General features: G+C 43.8%; 1 pseudogene, besides 1 other annotated feature; it reads right to left on the reverse strand.

Moving 5' to 3' along the window:
* Positions 2,327 to 2,835: an enhancer, noted in NCBI's record as "H3K4me1 hESC enhancer chr2:174280529-174281037 (GRCh37/hg19 assembly coordinates)". NCBI's record gives its function as "activates a minimal SCP1, AML or CMV promoter by ChIP-STARR-seq in naive H9 embryonic stem cells {active_cell/tissue: H9 hESC(naive)}" and the evidence as "EXISTENCE:reporter gene assay evidence [ECO:0000049][PMID:30033119]".
* JPT1P1 (JPT1 pseudogene 1) lies at positions 17,756 to 18,450 on the reverse strand (annotated as a pseudogene).

Raw genomic sequence — 22,000 nt, forward strand, 5'->3', positions numbered from 1 at the left:
GATCAATTCTTTTAAAAACAATCACTTATAAAAACTTGGTTGCCAACTGATCAATAAAAAGCATTGACTAAAAATAGAATAAGTTAACGAAAATGCAACTAAAAAGTTAATTATGTTGTTAACGTAGTTAATAGCACACATGACTTGCCCATTGTTGGTGTTTTGCTGCAGTATCCTAGTACCCTGGGCCTTCCCAGGAGATGTAAACCCCTCTCTTGCTCCCATCCCCTGAACATGCTCATACACAGAGCTCATTCCCCCAGTCTCCTTTTCTTTTCCTCCTTCTACCTCAGGGAACTCTCCTACAGCCTGCTCTGGGGACCAATTTTATGCTGAGGGCAGGAGCTGCTGGCTCTGACGCGGCTGGGGCGCGTTGACCTGGAGCTTTTGTCTGGGATTTCTCACCCCTGTCTCCGCCATGAGGGCTCCTCAGAACCCATGGGCTCGGAAGAAATGCATTTCATTATTTCGACCAGCTTTTACTTAACTATTGTGTTAGATTACAAGACTTTCCAGCAAAATTAAATATTAGAATAAAAATTATTTGCAAAAGTACTCCTCATGTCTTCTCTTGCAACTTGGACCACATTTTGAGTGCATGCAGTTAACTATAAGGCATTCTTTCTTTGGCTACGAGTTCAGATGTCTTGTCTTTATTAGAAAACAGCCCTGTGCAAGCCCCAAATTGCTCATATTTCACTTTTTATCTTTTGATTCACTTAGTATATTATTCTCAAATCACTTTTTCCAATTCTTAACTAAGTTGTCTTTTTTTTTTTTTTTTTTTTTTTTTTTTTTTTGAGACGGAGTCTCGCTGTCGCCCAGGCTGGAGTGCAGTGGCGCAATCTCGGCTCACTGCAGGCTCCGCCCCCTGGGGATCACGCCATTACTAAGTTGTCTTTAATTTTTGCCTTTGCACCTTGGTATCCCCTCAACCCTAAGGCGTATACTCTTATTTGCCTTAAAGAAATGGAGTAGGCTGGGCGAGATGGGTCACACCTGTAATCCCAGCACTTCGGGAGGCCGAGGTGGGTGGAGCACCAGGTTAGGAGTTTGAGACCAGCCTGGCCAATATGGTGAAACCCTGTCTCTACTAAAAATACAAAAATTAGCCAGGTGTGGTGGCACACACCTGTAATCCCAGCTACTGGGGAGGCTGAGGCAGAAGAATTGCTTGAACACAGGAGGTAGAGGTTGCAGTGAGCTCAGATCACACCACTGCACTCCAGTCTGGGTGACAGAAAGAGACTCCATCTCAAAAAAAAAAAAAAAAAAAAAAAAGAGAAATGCAGTAAACCTAAGCAACTGCCTTTCTGCATGTAGTCCCTTCCCTAATACCCCCTGAAGATTGTGCTTTCAGTAACTTCTAGTCATGGGCTTCCCCCCCTACCATGGGATAAAGAAACTTACATGTCATTGTCCATATTTGCTTAGAGGACTGGTAAATTTGATTAGTCACAACTAAGCCATCAGACCAGGAACCAAGAAAAAAATCTTAAGTCTCAGATAAAGCCCTCTTTCATTAGAATATAGATTTGCTGGATCTGGATGGATCTCAGAAAGAAATTAGATTTGTCTCAACACTTTCTAGATGAAGAAACCAAAGACCCAGAGGTTACTTTTTTTGGCCAGCTGCCACATGACTAATGGCAAATGGCAAAGTTATAACAAAAGCCTAAGCTTTCTTACATCATCTGCAGAGTACGAACATTCATTCATTCATTCATTCATGTCTTTCTTTCTTTTTCCTTTCTTCCTTCCTCCCTTCTTCCCTCCTTGTCTCTTTCTCTTCCCTCCTTCCTTCCTTTTTTTCTTTCTTTCCCAACATTTATTCATGCCCACTATGCACGTATTTCATCATAAACAAGTGATTTATTTTCAGAATTGAAAACCTGGTGACATATGGTCTGATGAGTAGGAGTGCACTAATAGACCTACAGAAGCAGAATGTTTGAAATGGGAACTGCCCGGGAAAATCTGATTTACGTGGTTATTGTCATCAGAGCTTGCCACTTTCCCTGTAACGCACACCACACCAGTTTTACTGTGGTGCCATAGAATCCTGATTCAAAACAAGGCAAGAAGGACCAAAGAATAATAAGAGAGTACGTGTACACGTCCAAACCCATGCATAGAGATGGAGCTGCCTCGGATGTAATTCAGCAGACAATTAGCACACTGACATTTTGGCAAAATTTCCAGACATTTCCATAAATCCTTTTTAGATTCTTCTTCCCTCCAGCTCAGCAAGACAGTCACATTTTTTTCCGGGCCTCAGACAAACAATAGCATCCAAATGATATTTAAGAACAACCTCCCAGCATGACAACTGAGGCTCAACCCATCTCGGAGAAAGGAAGGTCACCATATGCCCCGCACTCTTTGTGCGCGGCCTCGCTGCCATTTTACAGGGGCCTTGGCCTCTTTATTTTACTTTGGGAGACAAGAGCTCTACTAAAACGCACAAAGGGGATTTGAGATTAAGGATCGTCTTCTATCTCTCTAACCTACAGCATCTTTCATCCTAACAAAGGTGGGAGGAGCTGAAGAGAAAGATGGGGCTAACAGGAGGGGGCTGCGGAGGAAGCCAGGCAGCCGAGGGGGAAGGGGAAGAAAGCGAGCTTTTTAAAACTTGCTGTCCCCCGGCCCTCCTGTTTTCTTCATCTTACAGAAGCACCATCTGTTCCCAGACTTGATGTGCTTGCATTTGTTTTCCATTCAGCAACAGCTTATGTAGGAAGCAGATTATGAAGTGAGCAAATATGTCACCGACTGGATCAGCAACTGTATTTTGTTCGCCCCCTTAAAACTTTACAGAAACCCTGCGGCCCGTGCACACGGGGCCGGACCCGTCGCCAGCGCCAGTGCGCCGGCCGTGATTAGGGCCACCTGACTTCGATTATCCTTTGTGCTCCAGCCTGTCAGTGTTTATGCACTTCATTTATACTGTATTTTAAAGTACCCTTAAATTATGTTTTCAAAAATTTTTCTAGTGTGCAAGCCTAACGAGAGCATAAACAATTCAAGAACAGGGAATTTACTATTTCTTGCCATATTCTCTTTTCTCTAGTCAGCCATACAGACAACTTTATAATATAGTGACATTTTGGCAAAATTTCCAGGCATTCTCTTAACTATGTAGACTTATTTGATCATACTTCCAAAACTAACAAGATGGGGATGAATCATAGGAGATCAGTTGTAGACATCAAAAAGTCACCTTTTGCTGTCTCAAAAAAGAAAATCCCGTCTTCAGCTTTTAAAAATATTCTGGGCCGGGTGCGGGGGCTCACGCCTGTAATCCTACCACTTTGGGAGGCCGAGGCGGGTGGACTGCCCGAGCTCAGGAGTTCAAGACCAGCCTGGGCAACACGGTGAAACCCCGTCTCTACTAAAATACAAAAAATTAGCCGGGCGTGGCGGCGGGCGCCTGTAGTCCCGGCTACTCAGGAGGCTGAGGCAGGAGAATCGCTTGACCCCGGGAGGCGGAGGTTGCAGTGAGCTGACATTGCGCCACCGCACTCCAGCCTGGCGACAGAACTAGACTCCATCTTAAAAAGAAGAAGAAAAAAAAATTCTTGGCAGGGCGGGTGGCTCACACCTGTAATCCCAGCACTTTGGGAAGCCGAAGCGGGTGGATCACCTGAGGTCAGGAGTTCGAGACCAGCCTGGGCAACATGGTGAAACCCCGTCTCTACTAAAAATACAAAAATTAGCCGGGCGTGTTGGCGCATGCCTGTAATCCCAACTACTCGGGAGGCTGAGGCAGGAGAATCGCTTGACCCTGGGAGTCAGAGGTTGCAGTGAGCTGAGATCGTGCAATTGCACTCCAGCCTGGGTGAAAAGAGTGAAACTCCAACTCAAAAAAAAAAAAAAAAAAAAAAAATTCCGGAAGATATGATCCAGATACTGTGATCTTCACACTGGGCTGTGGTGTCTTCCAGTGACAAGACTCTGAAATGCAGAAAGGACCACATAGCATTGTGTGGAGCTGATACACTTTACATTCTCATTCTGCTATTGTTGGACATTTTAGTATAACATTCCAATGATAAATAACGCTGAGGTCAACATCTTTAAGCACGAAGCTTTTTCTATTTTTATAATTTTTTTAGACTACATTGTGAAAAGTGGAATTAAAAAATAAAGTTAGTGACATTTTGAATTTCATCTTCAAACCACCATTTAAGAAAAGTTTACTGTTTTGAATAGGTATATAAAAGTTGGGACTACTAATCGTCATTGCATGTACATGTTTTTACCCAAACTTTATTGGAGAGCCTTGGCACATCCCTTAACTACAGTCTTCACCTGTCTGACAGAAAATTTAATATTATTTACCTGAAGTACCCTTAATATCTTGGAATATAAGTTGCTGTTAAACTTATTCATTATTTTCTCTAAGGGCTCATTGAACATTTAAACACCTTGGTAGAGAATATGAATGACTAAATTAGATACTTTAAGTTCAAACTTGGTTGTACTATTCTGGCATTATAATACATTCTATGCATACTACAAATTGCTGAGGCATCAAATTACAGAAGTTCAGTAAAGAAATGTTAGATTTTAAACTTCAAATGTCATGGATTAATGCTAGACAATGGTTTTCTTTAAAGTGCTAAATTTAAATCTGATATAATTATTTTATCCCATTTCATATTTTCCTGGGAAATTTTTACTGTGTGTTTAAAAATGAATTAAATTAGTGGAAGGAAAAATTTCAGAATGTCTATTTTATTTTGTTTATTTTATGTTTTATTGAAACAGGGTCTTGCTGTGTCATCCAGACTGGAGTACAGTGGTATGATCACAGCTAACTGCATGGTTGACCTCCTGGATTTAAGCCATCCTCCCACCTCAGCCTTCCAACTAGCTGGGACTGCAGGTGGGCACCACCATGCCTGGCTAATTTTTTATTTTTTCTAGAGATAGTCTCACTATGTTGACCTGGTTGGTCTTGAACCCCCGTGCTCAAGCAATCCTCTTGCCTTGGCCTCCCCAAGTGCTGAGATTATAGGCATGAGCCACCATACATGGCATCAGAATGTTCGTTTTAAATTGAAATTGCTGTGTAGATTTTAAGAAATATTAGAAGTTGAACTATTTGTCATACTCAAACTTTTTCTTTGATTAATGCACCAAGTTGCCTTGTTTTGATATTGTATACTTCTTGATTAATAATTTCTCTTTTACACTCTTGAGCATAAACATTCTTTTGTTGACTGGAGCTTTTATTTTTTCACCCAAAATTATCTGCATATGAAATATGTGTACAGAACAACTTTAGTGGAAAATCACAACAGCCAGGCCTGATGCAAACACATGGTTGAACCCCTGGACCTGCATTCCTCAGTGTGCTGCTGTCCCAACACAGAGTATAACACAACACCAAAAAATCCCAACACAAACATTTTTTTGTTGTTGTTGTTGGATATCCCAACACAAAAAATCTATAAGCATAAAACTCCTATAACTTCCCACAAAATGCCGTTGGCCTCGGCAATGTAAAGCTTACACTCACTAAAGGAATAGGCTTCATTTATTAGACAGAAGGTGGTCCCTGGGAAGGGTTGCGAATTTTCATTAAACTCTGCATTTTCCACATGTTGACTTTTTCTAGATCTGCTTTAATTTCTTTTGAGTTCTGAGTCCATGCTAGTGTGCATGACTGAGATAGAGTTATATAGAGTGAGGTGGGCTGTGGGGCAAAAACCTTGGAGTATTGTCCATTTTGGGGAAAGAAGTGTAGATAGTCTTCAACTGTTCCTGCCAACAGGTTACAGCACTTAAACACAGACAGGGATCAGATGTTTCTCTTAAAGTATTAATACTTTATCTCATGCTCTACTGGGACAACAGGAGATAAGCAGTCGTCTCTTTTTCCTCTGATCTGTGGATATGCACATTATTTAGAGCAGAACATTATTCTCTCGTTTTTCTTCCCTTGCAAAAGTTAAGGCCAAAACCAATTTCTCAGAGAATTAAAGGTGATCCTAAACCAATTCATCTTTATACTGCCTGCTTTTATTCCTCATCTGTATATATTCCAGTTGTCATAATAATAAACAGAAGCGGAAAAGACAGTAAAACCAGAATGCTTCTGACAGTAAAACAGGAACTCCTTGCTCTTAAAAATGAAGGAGGCATGTGCTTTGGCTCTGGGTGCCTTTTTTGGGAGGTATGGCCTCTGCAGAGGAAACCTGGAGCTATTGTCTTATGCAACAGTCTCTTTCATTGTACACAACGTCTGAATCATCACTTCTGCTGTCCTACCTGTATGAAATCTGGGTGTTATTCAATGGTGTGTTGATAACTTATCAACCACCTCTTCAGAAAAAAGAAGCTCTGATACGTAGCATTTGTCGATTCCCATGATGTAAATACTCCCACCATTGCTGATTTTAAGCTACCAGTGTGATTTCACTGACATAGAGTTAGGAAGAAATGTGCAAAATTGACTCTTGTGAGCTGATGTGAGCTGGTTCCAGTACAGTTTTAACTTCCTGAGCACCATGAACCCTCTCCTTTCATCCAGCTCATGAATCTCCTCCTGGTCATCTCAGATTCTTTATCCAATCTTGACTTCATGGTCAGCTCACCTCACCATCTTAACCTTTTCTCTATATCAGACATTTATTGTGTAATTACCATGCTGCAGACACAGCACAACACATTATGGCTACCAGGTCAACTAAGACAAGGTCCCTTCCTCCAGGAGTTTATCATGTAGTGGGGACACAGATTAGTTATCAGGCTAGCCAGGGATACCAATTCAGAGTGTAAGTGAGCGGTACGGGCAGGCTCAGGGTGCTTTAGGAGCCTAGGGTCACCTCTTGGGGTGATTCATATATCCCTAGACTTCTTTTCCTTTTCTGGAAGTTTGGAAAAGCAGGTTCCATCATTCATTCCACCCAAGCTGGCCTGAGGAGCATTGCTAGTGAGGGGAGTTCCTGCTGTTCATCTTCAGAGGGGCAATGTCTGTGTTACTCTTGCTGTGTCTCACAGAAGGTATTCCTGACTTCTGGAGCCACCTGCTGCCCTAGTCGCTGACATCCCAGGGGACTATTTCACCTCTTGTATTAGTCCATTTTCACACTGCTGATAAAGACGTACTTGAGACTGGGTAATTTATAAAGAAAAAAAGGTTTGACGGACTCGCAGTTCCACGTGGCTAGGGAGGCCTCCCAATCATGGCGGAAGGTGAAAGGCACGTCTTACATGGCGGCAGCAAGAAAGAATGAGAGCCAAGTGAAAGAGGTTTCCCCTTATAAAACCGTCAGATCTCATGAGACTTATTCACTACCATGAGAACAGTATGGGGGAAACTGCCCCCATGATTCATGTGTCTCCCACCAGGTCCCTCCCACAACATTTGGAAATTATGGGAGCTACAATTCAAGATAAGATTTGGGTGGGAACACAGCCAAACCATATCACCTCCTCCTTTGACAATTAGATTGAGGCCAACCAGAATAAGTTCCCACCTTTACCTTGTCCTCCCTCAGGGGTGTTCTTTCCCTCTGATTAGCCTTCATTTTTGTCCAGTCTGAGACGAAGAGCTGCCCATTTGTCTCATTAGGGCAAACCAACCTATTTCCTCCTACCTCACAGCCTTCCTGCACCTCTTGGAAGCCCTTTCTGTCTCAACTAATGCCTCTTCCCCTTGGCCTTTTCCCTCTTTTTCTCTTCCCTGGCTTCCTTCCCTTGACTTCATATCCTTAGCAGGCATTCCCCTGCCTGCGTCCACTCTCCTCGTCCTCGTGGTTCCCAGCTCTGCCACAACAGACAGTGGAGGAGAGCCTCCTGCTCATTCAGCTCTCTGAATCCCAGTTTCCTCGTCTGTAAAATGCCGATGTCCACAGCACTATAGTGAATAGATAATGAAATACTAATTAAATGAGATCATTAGATAATGTGTTATTTACCAATCTTTTACTCTTGAAGTCCTAGAATGTTCTTGCAGTGGCCAATGGTAAATGGCTTCTTTTTTTGTGGTTTTCTTCTCTGACCTCTGCAGCATTTGACATCTTGCTGACACCAGTTCTTCCTGAGACTCTTTTCTATCCTGGATTTAGGCACTGCATGGTCTGGAGACTCTTTCTGCAGCCATGAGTGCTGCTTTCCTCAGCCGGCTTCCTGGTTGTGGGAGTTTCCCAAGGGACAGTTTCCACCCTCCTTGCTACCCATCTTGGAAGAACCAACGTGCTCCCTGGCTGATGCTCTAGTTTCTGTGCAAAAGATTTACAGTCTACGTTCTCACTTGCCTAGGATGACCGACTGTCCCAATTTTCCTGGGACTGCGGGATTTCCCAGTGCAGGGCTCTCAGGACTCAAACCCACAGTCCCTAGCAAACCAGACCATTGTCTGCCTAGTCCTCAGTTTCTACCTGTTTTGTGAGGTCTCTCTCTCCACTACGTAGCCATTTGGATCACCTGTCATTGCATTAAGCCAAAGAGTCGAAGATCAAACTCATCGTCTCTTTTTTCCTTCTCTCTGAACTGAATCCATCCCTTCTCACTTTTGGTATTTGTTAGATTTGTGACCCTGGGAAAGTAACCCACTCCTTTGTGCCTTGGTTTCTTCATCTAGAAAATGGAAGTAATAAAAGTTCTCATGTATGAGTTTGGGACTGTTAAATAAGTGATTAATGTAAGCAGTTAGAACGGAGCTGACAATAGTAAGACCTCAGCAACTGTTAATGATCAATAATACTATCAGCACTTCTTCACATTCATGGGAACGTCATTGTCTGAATTCCCAGTTTCAAAGCATGTGAATTATCATTGATTGTTTCACCATTTCTGGGCATTTGCTGAATTGTGTGGATCATTATTTGCAACTCTCACATGCACCTGCTCTTTCCTTTCCTTCCCCAGAGCCGCTTCTGGGCTCTCATCACTTCCTATCTGTGTAACTGTCAGAGGGTTCTCACCACTTTTCCTGCTTTCTGTCTCCACATTTGGTTCCATCCTTGGCATGACAACCACATTAATCTCCCTACAAAATGCTTTTTTTTTTTTTTTGGAGATGGAGTCTTGCTCTGTTGCCTAGGGTGGAGTGCAGTGGCTCTATCTCAGCTCACTGCAACATCCACCTCCAGCATTCAAGCGTTTCTCATGCCTCAGCCTCCTGAGTAGCTGGGACTACAGGAGTGCACCACCACACCTGGCTAATTTTTGTATTTTTAGTAGAGATGGGGTTTCATCATGTTGGCCAGGCTGGTCTTGAACTCCTGACCTCAGGTGATCCACCCACCTTGGCCTCCTAAAGTGCTGGGATTATGGGTGTGAGCTATCACACAAGGGAGACAGGAAGGAGGGAGCCCAGTTACAAAGCTCGAATCCCTCAATTCCCTCCTCTCTGGTTGGCCCATTGTTGTGATAATGTGAGATAGCACAGGAGATGAAAGCTGTGGAGCCTCATGTCCTTGTCCAGTATTGTTGGTAGCTATTACAGGGTGTATTCCATCTTCTCTGATCTGCATGGCAAGCCATCCAGGCTCCAACTCCAATCACCTCACCTCATTTCCTCCAACTGTCTCCCACAAATCATCCTTGGCTCCAGCCATGCTGCTACCCTTCTGTGCCACGAGCAGACCTTTCGCCTCACGTATCCTCTTCCTCTCTAGGCCCTCAGGCCTAGAAAAACTTTCAGTTCCAACAGAAAACTTCTCCCCATCCCATGAGCTCACAGTGCTGTCAAACCCTCTTCTAAACCCCAGCAGAGCTGTCTGTTTTATTTCTGCAGCTGGACTTGACCAGACAGTGCCTTAGAGCAGGGTGTCCTAAAGTATTGCTCCTGGGAATGCTAGTGCCACTGGATGCAAGAGAGCTCTTTCTCCAAGCCTTTAATTAGGTGGTGAACATCATGAATCTTCAAGAGGGGGCTATAAAAAGCAGCATTTCCCAAATCATATTTGTCCATAGAAACATTTTTTTTAAAACATGGAGCATTCACAAAGACTGATGTTCTATCAGCTACTCTGGGAAACACTGTCTTAGAGTGTTACTTGAGTTGATTTGTTTGGTTACCTGTGGTCACAAATTCTTTGAGGTTAATATTATAATCTTTGTTTTTACTACAATAATCATATGGCCATTTGTTCAAAATCTAATAAGAGATGGATATTGAACTTAAAGACATTGAATTCCAGTTCCTCTGTTTTTATTTTATTTTATTTTATTTTTTATTTATGTATTATTGAGACAGTCTCAGTCTGTCGCCAGCCTGGAGTGCAGTGGTCCGATCTTGGCTCACTGCAACCTCCGACTCACTGGTTCAAGTGATTCTCCTGCCTCAGCCTCCCAAGTAGCTGGGATTACAGGCACGCACCACCATGCTCAGCTAATTTTTGTATTTTTAGTAGAGACAGGGTTTCTTCATGTTGGCCAGGGTGGTCTCTATCTCCTGTTCTCATGATCTGCCTGCCTTGGCCTCCCAAAGTGCTGGGATTACAGTCGTGAACCACTGCGCCTGGTCAGTTCTTCTTTTTTTAATAGGGGGATTATGAACAAATTATTTAGTCTCTAATATAGGCTTCATCTTTCTTATGGGGATAATAATACCTGTGTAAACTGGATTACATAAGGATTAAATAAGATAAAATATAAAGTATCAAGCGTAAAGTCAGAAAAAATATAAGTTCAATTAATTTCAGTTTTTTTCTTTCTTTTCCCAGATAGTTCATTTTGATAGGTTTACTCTGGCTTAGTTTTTTTTCTTTTGTTTTGTTTTGTAAATATACTTCTAAGAGAACCCTCTAAATCATCCAAATGTCTTTTTAAAATTTTAATATTGTAAATCTGGTTATTATACATCAATAGTCTTTACTATCAGAAGAAAAAATAGAGCCACAATAAATTTTGGCTCACGATCTGTTTATACCAATATGTTCACATGGTTAAATCACAAGAAATCATCAAATTAATATATTGTTGATGTTGCCTTTAATGTTTTACATATTCACATTTTTCATTTTCTTCTTGTGTACCCATTATCTTTGATTTTGACAACTTAAACCGGAAAGGTACAAAGATGATACGAAGCTGTGGGTAAGAGAGTCATAGAGTCGCCAGGCGCAGTGGCTCATGCCTGTAATCCCAGCACTTTGGGGGGCTGAGGCAGGCAGATCACCTGACATCAGGAGTTTTCAAGACCATTCCGGCCAACATGGTGAAATCCTGTCTCTACGAAAAATACAAAAACCAGCAGAGCATGATGGCACATACCTGTAGTGCCAGCTACTCAGGAGGCTGAGGCAGGAGAATCACTTGAACCTGGGAAGCAGAGGTTGCAGTGAGCCGAGACTGCGCCACTGCACTCCACCATGGGCAACAGAGTGAGACTCTATCTAAAAAAACAAAGAGATTCATAGAGTCACACTCCGGGCAAGGATGAGAGAGCCAACCAAAAGCTGAGATGTCTCTCTCTCATACACATCCCATATACTGACTGAGGCCATAGATTGTGCTCCAGGCATGCACACACCAGAAAAGCTACAAGGATGCAAATATATAACAGGCTTACTATGCATTTTGTGCCAGAGAATGTCAGGGCAGCCAGCCAGTATATAGTTGTCTCTAAGTGACCTGTCTACAGGGTCTCATTTTGTTGGGGGTGAAATTATTTCCTTCTTTCGAAAGCCTGCAAGGAAAGCAAAGAAACTTCTGGTCTGATGGTGACTGCCAAATACTTTGTGGGTGAGAAAGAAAGCGAGATCCATGCATCCTCACCACTGGGAAGTCATTTCTGGCAGGATGCAGTTAATTTATTGCTTGAAGAAATGATCAATAAAAATGGCAGAACTTGAGCTGCTCTTGCTTGGAGGCAGGTAGTGTGTTAAAGCTCACTGGGCAGGTCAGGCAACCGAGGCTCCATTGACTTAAGAGACTTGCTTGAGGTTATAGAATTTGTGAAGATGAGCGGTGGGGCCTGGCTCCAATGTGCTGCTCTTCCAAATGTACCATGATATATAGCAGCTTTCTCCTTAGACATGAGTCCCTGTTCTTTGAGCACATTAGGTCTGAAAAATTCCATCTTAGATTGGCACAGAGAGGGGAAAATCAGAATGAAAAGTATTACTCTTTTTTTATTTTTTGAGACGGAGTCTCGCTCTGTCGCCAGGCTGGAGTGCAGTGGCGCGATCTCGGCTCCCTGCAACCTCTGACTCCCTGGTTCAAACGATTCTCCTGCCTCAGCCTCCTGAGTAGCTGGGATTACAGGCACATGCCACCACGTCCAGCTAATTTTTGTATTTTTATTAGAGACGGGGTTTCACCCTGTTGGCCAGGATGGTCTTGATCTCTTGACCTCATGATCCACCAGCCTTGGCCTCCCAGAGAGCTGGGATTACAGGCATGAGCCACTGTGCCTGGCTGAAAATCATTACTCTTATGACATGCATTGGAGAAAAGAAGCCATTGTAGTTGATGTTATGTGTGAAGACAGCCAAATCTTCTCTGGGGCAAGGAATGCCCACTAGCCAGTTAATCCTTCTCCACTTTTCTTCAAAGAGAGGGAGGGGGAATCTAGAAACCGATTCAAGGGATTGGCACCTACTGAACCAGTTTAGCGGGAAGGGGCATTCTGCTTGCCTAAGCTGAATTCCAGTGCACGTGATTTCACTTGGGTGGTGTCTTTGCTGTCACTTCTCCCTTTACAGGCCTAACCTCAAAACATTCCCTTACCGACCCCTCTCCCCTAAGCAAAATACACAGGCAAAAGGTTTTTGTTGTTACTATACAGGCAAATTATTATTATACAGGTGATATCACAGGCAAAATGTTTTTGTTGTTATTATACCCAGCATCATATAACGGAAGGATGGTGTGTGAATCCACTCTGAGGTGACCTCACAGATGCCCCTTCAGGACCTGGAAGGGGAATTACCCTTGGCCAAGGCCACACTCCTCTCTGGAGGCAGCCCCCATCAATGGCTGGTCCTGGAAGGAAGAAGGATAAAAGGCAGCCCCAGGCAGTTCAGAGCTCCCTGTATAATTGGCCGAGACTGCATCTACATCATAGTTCAGCGCCTCCTCTCCCTGCCTGTCTGTCCTGCCCCAGCTCCCTCACAGGTGCCTGCTTCTGAGAAGATCCTCCTAACCACTCCCGGTAGAAACCTTCCACATGCAAATGTCATCATCTTAGGGTCTGTTTCCCAGGGAATGTGACCCGCAGCAGAAGGTAATTTGGGTAGTGCTACATGCTACTTTGTAACAAGCTCATTTTTACTAATTACGGCATGAGTAGGTGGTGCTTGAACTCAGCAGGGACAGATAAATAGTTTTGATTCAGGCTGAGTGGGGTGGCTCACGCCTGTTAATCCCAGCACTTTGGTAGGCCAATGCGGGTGGATCACTTGAGGTTAGGAGTTTGAGACCAGCCTGGGCAACATGGTGAAACCATGTCTCTATAAAAAATACAAAAGTTAGCTGAACGTGGTGGCATATGCCTGTAGTTCCAGCTACTAGGGAGGCTGAGGTGGGAGGATCACTTGAACCCGGGAGGCAGAGGTTGGAGTGAGCCAAAATTGTACCACTATACTCCAGCCTGGGCAACAGAGTGCGTTTCTGTCTCAAAACAACAACAACAACAACAAAGAGGCAAGTGTAGGATTGAAATATCACCTTTGCTAGTGAGCCAGCTGATCCTGAGAATAGGACCTATATCTGCAGGAATTTGATGGAAGTTCCTCTGCCCCCAGCCATGGCAGTGCTGGACCATAGCCCTCAGCATGGAGAGCATGGAAGGCAGGAGCAGAGCGGAGGTGGCTTCCTGTGGGCAGCTTGTGCCTGAGGGTGACTGAAGAAGGCCCGATTCTTTGTCCTAAACACATCATTGTGTACATTGCTGCACCTTCCCATGGCGGGGCTGGAGTTTGGGGGAAATGAAGTGGAGAGGAGCCCAGGAGTGTTCTGCTGGGCAGCTTCCTACCTGTGGAAGATGGCATAAAGAGTGGGGGGACATTCTGTCCCTCACAGATAGCAATTCCCTTAGGAGATTGTATCTCTTTCTTGGGAATTCGGTCCTCAGCAAATTGATTTCACAGATATTATTAAGTGCCTATTCAATGACATACATTATTTTGGGGGAATCAGAAATGAACAAAACAGGCAAAATCCCTGCTCTCATGGAGGTTACAATCTAGTGGGAAACACAGAGAGTAAATGAGAAAAGCAAGTAAAATATGTTGGGGGATGGATAGCTATCAGTGATCTATTACAACCCCAAAGTGGGAAAGAGGAAATGAGGAATTATGAGGAATGGCATCAAAAAGGGACACAATAAAAGCCTCCATCTGTTTGGGTAGAATAGGGAATAGGGAGTTAATATTTGCCACTCAAACTGTGCTTCAATTTCAGTTGTCCTTTCTGCTGACACTTGTAACACACTTCTCTCTCCCAGCTCCCCTACATCCAAATCCTGCAAGACCCTTATTGCTTTTGTGAACTTGAGCTCTCTCTGCAACCCTCTAGCCCATCCTCTGTAGGCTCAGTCACAGTTAATGACCTTGACTGTAGCCTTGAAGATACGGACATTCCAGGTGCTCTGCCCTGGCAGGAGTTCAGCATTCCTTTCTGTCCACAGTTTTGCTCTTTGGCCTACTTCAGTGCTGATCCAGCTGGCTGTGACTCCCCACCAGATGTGAAGGGACTTGCACCACCTGAATCTGGTTAGAAGCTGGCTCACATAGCCAGGCTTGTAGTTTCAGCTTTGCTACTGTCATGTGAACCCTGGGCCAGAAGATTCTGTTGACACCTGGAAACTAGGAATGGTTTGGCGGTGTCCTGATATGGTGGATATTTATTGTTTTGTGTTTCTGGTACTCCTACTACTTTCTGGGAATAACACTCCCTTTATTTGGGGGAGCTGTTCTTGCTACCCAATGTGAACCAAATGAGTAATTTGTATTTTACATGACCCCACTTGTCTGTACAAAGTGTTTGATCCAAAGGTAGGCCCCTGGCCAAGCTGAGCTAATCATGGGAGCCCCTGTTCTGGCCACAGTGACATGTGTCTAATGCATGACTCAGAACACACCAATCACTCCCCTGGGATTTCAACAACTAAACCTGCGGGGAGAAAACGTTTTTCCCTTGAGGAAAAGCTGGCAGATATAAGCCAGTAGCTGTAGCAGCCATGTCTGACTTCTGTGAGAAAACCAAGCCGTGGTTAGGGGAGAAGAAAGCCGATCCACAGAGAGAGGCAGAGACAAGAGAGTCGGAGAGAGTCTGAGTCCCCGGCTCCAGGTGTCTCAGTCACGCTCCTGCTCTTCAGGGACTTAGGTCAGTACATTCCAATTTTTTCCTTACCTAGGTCAAGTAGGTCAGGTCAGATTCCAGTCATGACTATTAAACATTGAGTCATGGCAACTATATTTGGGAAGACCCAGAGGGTTCAAGTGAGCATCCCCATGTCTTCTACCTGCCCATCTTTGGAAGATTACTTCTTCCATGAAACGTTTTCTTTTTTTTTTTTTCTTGTTTGATACAGGGTCTCTCTGTGTCATCCATGCTGGAGTGCAGTGGTGTGATCTCGGCTCGCTGCAACCTTCTCCTCCTGGGTTCAAGTGATTCTCATGCCTCAGCCTCCCAAGTAGCTGGGGTTACAGGCGCCCACCACCATCCCTGGCTAATTTTTGTATTTTAGTAGAGATGGGGCTTCACCGTGTTGGCCAGGCTGGTCTCAAACTCATGAGCTCAAGTGAGCTGCCTTTCTTGGCTTCCCAAAGTGCTGGGATTTACAGGCATGAGCTACCTACCTGACTCCTCCTCCTTCCTTCCTTCGTTCCCACATAGCGCTTCGGTTCTGCTTCTCTCATGGTACTAGTAATCCTTAGTGTACTTGCTGGTTTAACCATTTGTCCCCACCAAGAAGGTAGAAATTGGTTCTTATTCTTATTCGTATTCTCTAAGTTGGGCATGGAGATGCTTAGTATGTGTTTGTTGGATGAAAGGATAAACAGATAGATGGATGGATAAGTATCATTACCATTAAGTGGGTGCCTCTGTGTGTCAATCCTTTAATAAAGATGTCAAAAGCCCAGAGACTCTCTGGGGACTGAATTAATTCTGGGGCTTTGGAGGGGTTCTGAAAAGGCCTGGGGAATGTGAATTCCCCTGGAACTACTCTGGAGTTGCCACAGGGTGATGCAGAGTTGGTTCAAGTCTGCACAGGACACTTGGTGATTATCAGCTTTCTCTGATTTGTTCAGGGTGCATGAGAGTGGTGTTTCAGCCTGGAGCGGTGGCTCACGTCTGTAAACCCAGCACTTTGGGAGGCCAAGGCGGGCGGATCACCTGACGTCAGGAGTTCGAGACCAGCCTGGCCAACATGGTGAAACCCTGTCTCTACTAAAAAATACAAAAATTAGCCAGGCATGGTGATGTGTGCCTATAATCCCAGCTATTTGGGAGGCTGAGGCAGGAGGATCTCTTGAGCTGGGAGGTAGAGGTTGCAGTGAGCTGAGACTGTGCCACTGCACACTCCAGCCTGGGTGACAGAGTGAGATTCCATCTCAAAAAAAAAAAAAAAAAAAAAAAGAGTAGTGTTTCTTCTGAGGCTTAGGATGCCAGCTTGGGGAACTCCAAACTTGGGCATTATGTGGTGGCAAAGCACCTCAATCCACAGAGACACCCAACATTGCCATGGCAAGTTAGACATAGCAGGGAAGACTGGGCTTTCCCTGATTTGCTCTTGAGTTCTCACTTTTCCCTCCAAACCTCCCAGAAGGGACTGGGGCTCCATTCCCTGGGGTCATTCGTAGCCACACTGCCTCTCCTTAGCCATTTTCTCTTAGCACAGTCATTCTTACTGGTATAAGTGTTTCCCCAAACTGCTTCCTTGATCTTAATCTCTCTGTCTCTCTGTCTCTGTCTCTCTGTCTCTGTCTCTGTCTCTCTCTCTCTCTGTCACACACACACACACACACACCATTTATGGCATTAGCTACTTTCTACCTGGCATTTTAGTCATTCTTTTCCATGGAGACTATGTGTTTTTTGAGGACAACTACTGTATTTTCTTCATCTTTGCAGCCCCTAGGGTGCTCAGCACAGTGCCCGAAAGAAACGGAGTTACATGTTTTTGAATAAACTCTCTGTTCTCACATTTAGGTTTCTCTAATTGCTTTAATTCAGGTTATCTACATAGGTTTCTACATAGGGATTCTCTTAAGAATATATTGTGAACAGCTCTCTTTTGCTGATATGGACGTTTCTCCAAATTTATTTTTCATGCTGACAGATTGTTTTCTGGTCTGAATGTACTGCCATTTATTTTCCCAATTCCCTAGTGCTGGAGCTTCTGGGTGCATCCAACATTTATAATTATTAACTGTGCTGCTGCGAGCCACCTTGCTAGACCTTTGTGTAATCCATCTTTGCTTTCTTAGGATAAATTCTTAGAATGGAATCTACATTTTAAAATCTTTTGACATGTCCTGACAAACACCGTTCCCCATAGCCTTCAATCTGGGCAGCTTTTATAGCTTTCCTCATAGCCATTATTCCATCAATAGGTAACATTGACAGACTTCAGCGAATGGAATCCTCCAGCCCTTTACCCTGATCCTTTCTCCGAGTTACATATTTTGTGGTTTCAAGACCATCTTGAAATCATTGAGAAACAAAGACACAGGAAAAGTTTTTTAAAGCGAGGAAAAGTAGAAAAACCTTTAGAGGTCTTCACAGGGATAGCATAGAAACCATGTAGTTGATATTTTGTCTTTTTATTTATTTTATTTATTTTTTAAAAGTGCTTCCTTTTTAATGAAATAAATTCAAAAGATGTACAGTCAGGCTCAAGTAGTGCAGTTCACAAGCATGGGAGAAACAAACAAAACAACGAAGTTCAGGATGGTCAGAGCAGAGTTAACCCAGGATGAGGCTGCACTTGCCACCAGGGGGATTTCCTATGGATGGTCCTGGGGCCAGGGCCACGGGGCTCAGCACAGGTGCAGCAGGTGCAGGCTTCTCTTCCCTCGGCCCCAGGCTGCCTTGCAAGTCTGTGTCCACATTTTCATGAATGTCACCTTCTCCCTTCAGATCTAAGAATCTGCAGAGTTTGCTTCAGAAGCGTTCCTTCCCTGCAGTCCGGATGACTCCAAGTCTTCTCCGCCACCTCTAGACTTGGCACCTGCCAATGTGGCCCAAGAAGGTGGATTTTCTTCAGGTGTCCCAAAGATACTAGAGGACATTTTGTTCTTTCTCACAGGTTGTTCTGTTGGTTCATCAAAACCCAATGAAAAATTGGATCCACCACCCAGCAGCCGCAAAACCCGGGAGCTATTCCTGCTGTTGGGGTTAACACCCTTGAAGGTAGTGGTGGTGGTCATGGCGCAGAGGAGCAAGTTAGGCTGGCGTGGAAGCAGAATGCTGACAAGGTCGGACCGAGGGGCACAGGGAGGCTCCATACCCCACAGACTGGCCCCCGCTGGGGGAGTCTCCTGCCCACGTTAGCTTTTCAAATGCTATTTGGAATATGTTTATTATGTCTCTTTAAATGTTATTTCGAAATGATACTTATTACTACCTAAGATGTAAATAACTCATCCTAGGTCAAAAACGGCATGGTTAGTGGGCTTCAAACATAATCTCTTCTGTACGGCTTTTTAAATATGGGACACCATGGCTATTCAGTTAGGTCCCTTGCTGGTGAGTCAGGCAGCCAATACCATCAGAAGCTGACCACATACGTGCCCCCCATGGAAGCTTCTGTAGCACAACCATGTGAGGCAAGCCTTGGACACGACGTCCCTGTGCCCAGTTGACTCACAGCTCCACTTATCTCTGCATGAGATCAAAATACAAATGCCAAAATTTCACTTCCCCAATTTTCTATTTTTGCTAATTGCCTCCACCTTGTTCTTTTTCTTTATATCCTATGCATGTTTGACATTTTAAAAAGGTGTTTTTAGCTCTGAATTTAAGCAAACTGGCCCACAGATCTCCCCAGTGAGTAGCAGACTCTGAGTTAATATTCACGGTGTCCTAAATGTTAACACTGCTTGGTTTTGCCTTGTTGCCTTTGCCTTGGCCCCAGCTAGTTTTAAATTGTGTTTACACAATTTTACAGAGTTACTTGCGTTTTTTCTTTAATGAGTCATGATATCTAGTATCAAGTTCAGTTTGGTCGGCTGTTTCACTACTATTCTGTACATAAGACAGTTAAATTATAATGTTAATTTAAAAGACAGAGAATCTATAGTAGGTATATATTTGAACAGGAGAACATTTTTCTGCCAGACCTGAGGACCTTCTGGGCTTTATCTTCTAGAATATCTTCTTTTGTAAAGAAGAGAAAATAAATCTCTGGAACTACTGGGGAACATCTTTCATTCTGGTTTTTTAAAATGTTTGCTTCTTTAATCCCCTGTGATTGAGAAGGCATAGAGGACTGCCAACTGAAGTGGAGGGGACCAATCACAAGGTGTACAGCATGCTTACTTCAAAACGGCTCTGAGAAACAAGGCAACGATTCCTTATCAACACTGACATAATAAAGGCAGTTGGCTCCAAGTATACGTGGGAGTAAAGGACTGTCCTTTATATGTTGATCACTACTATTTGTATTGTCATTCTTGGCTGTGAAGACTATTAATAGACATTTCTGTCAAGATGATATTTTCTTAGAGCCTTTTCTATTTTCTTATTCAACAGAAAAATAGACGAGGGGCTGGGCATGGTGGCTCACGCCTATAATCTCAGCATTTTGGGAGGCCAAGGCGGGTGGATTACCTGAGGTCAGGAGTTTGAGACCAATCTGGCCAACATGGTGAAACCCCATCTCTACTAAAAATACAAAAATTAGCCAGGTGTGGTGGCGGGCGCCTGTAATCCCAGCTACTCTGGAGGCTGAGGCAGGAGAATCACTTGAACCTGGGAGGCGGAGGCAGCAGTGAGCCGAGGTCGTACCGTTGCTCTCCAGCATGGGCAACTAGACCAAAATTCCATCTCAAAAAAAAAAAAAAAAAAGGAAAGAAAAATAGATGAGCAATGTTGGTATATCCCAAATGTTCCCAATTCATCACTCTGGTGTTCATATCACACTCATCTGAGACCCCATGTTGTCTGTCCAGCCTTGTAATTTCCACATCTGTCTCCTGCTTGTTTATTGCCTGATCCAGTTGTCCAGTCCTGGACCACAACCCTGCTCTTCCCCCTGTCGCAGCTGGTGTCCGGCTCTGTCCCTCTTTGTCCTGCTTCCTCCTGAATGTGGTGGACACAGACACTTCCCACAGTCCCCCTGTGGAAGTTGATAACAGGCTGTAATTTTTGAGGGTTTGGGAGTAGCAGAAGTGAATTAAACCCCAGGGACCAGAACTGCAGGCAGGACTGCTCTCAGCATCTGGCTCTCCATCATCACAGGGATACCCACCTGAGTACCATTCTTTCTAGACTGTCAGCAGCCATTCTTCCCCTTACACGTAGCACGGTTATGTTTCCCGCCCTGGGGTCCAGAGCCCATCTCTTACAGATCAGGAGAAATGAAAAGATTCTTCAACCAGATTTGCCTCCTCATTCCCTGCATAAGAATTGCTCTCTTCCCAAGATTATGGTTACTTGAGTTACATTTATTTCTTTTAGCAGAGCCCCATCCCTGGAACCTTCCTCTTTGTCATCTAAAAGATGCTAGAATTCAATGGTTTGATGTCATATATTTCCCAAAGTTTGGGTTAGTTGCTCAGGTTGGAATTTTTTGTCAAAGGGTCAAGGTTGGGATTCGGCAATCCTAGTCTTCCAGTGTGAGGGCACTTCCAGAGAGGACAACAGGGCCTGTCTGGAGTCTGTGTTGTCTAAACCCAGATTTAGTAAGGGAACATTTTTCCTAAGGAAAACCTAATTTGCAGAAGCATAGGTCCCATTAAAAGCCTTACCCAACTGACATTGCTGAAAAAGACACTTAACTTCCCAGTTAGAATTATTTGCATTCTGGTCTTTCCCAGAAAGAGGAGAACATGCTATACATTTGCACATCTCTGAGTGATGGGTCTGGAAGTGGGTACCGGCAGGGCTAGACAAGAGGCTTATCTCCCACTACACTATAGCAATGATTTCCCAAATGCAAGCCAAAAAAGGTTCTGTGACTCAAATTAATATGAAAACTACTGAGATAACAAGATGTTTTTCAACTCAAATAGGCCTAAAGGACTTTATTTTGCTCTGTACATTATATGTCTCTGAGAAGGGGATGATATTATGAGTTTCTTAAACTTTCTGACCATTTAACTCTCTCTCTCCTCCACAGAGAATTACTCTTCTAAAATTCTAGTCAAGATTGGATGGATAAAGACCCATTTGCCTTCCTTGGTTAAGGACACTTAGTTTACAACCCAAAGATAAAAATAATTACCATGACTATACTTAGAATTATATTTCTAGCCTGCCCAAGGGGATAGAGAGAAATCCCAGAAATCCTGTGACCTGGCAGCATTTGCAGCCTGAAACAATCTGTTCTATTCCAGATGGTTTTGCCCTGTGAGCCCATGCAGCATGGCCTACTGCAGCCTCTATGGTCTCTGCTTTCCTTCCTTGTTCTTTCGCTCGCTCCATTCTTTCTCAACTTGAGAGGTTCAGGCAAGATCCCTTAATTTCTGTACATGTCCGTTAGGGGAGTTTTCCCCTCTCTTTCCTATTACTTCAGATGCTGAGAGCAGTCCTGCCTGCAGTTCCAGTCCCTGGGGTTTAATCCACTTCTGCTGCTTCCAAACACTCAAAAGTTACAGCCTGTTCTCAACTTCCACAAGGGGAATGTGGGAAGTGTTCTGCATTTACTGCATTAAAAAATAGGTTCTCCATAAGCTTTTTGAGGGACAACTCTGTCACTATTCAGACTTGAGAAGATTTCAGTTTTTTTTGGTGAGGCAATAGTGTGACGTCTGGTTTCTGGGAATAATTACACAGAGTAATATATTAGTAGTCAATGATTCATTTATGCAAAATATAAAAATACAGACATTGTCATGTTACAAATGTTAATATTTAATACCTCCTTCAG

The sequence above is a fragment of the Homo sapiens genome, chromosome 2 (genome assembly GCF_000001405.40).
Source record: "Homo sapiens chromosome 2, GRCh38.p14 Primary Assembly".
Lineage (NCBI taxonomy): Eukaryota > Metazoa > Chordata > Mammalia > Primates > Hominidae > Homo > Homo sapiens.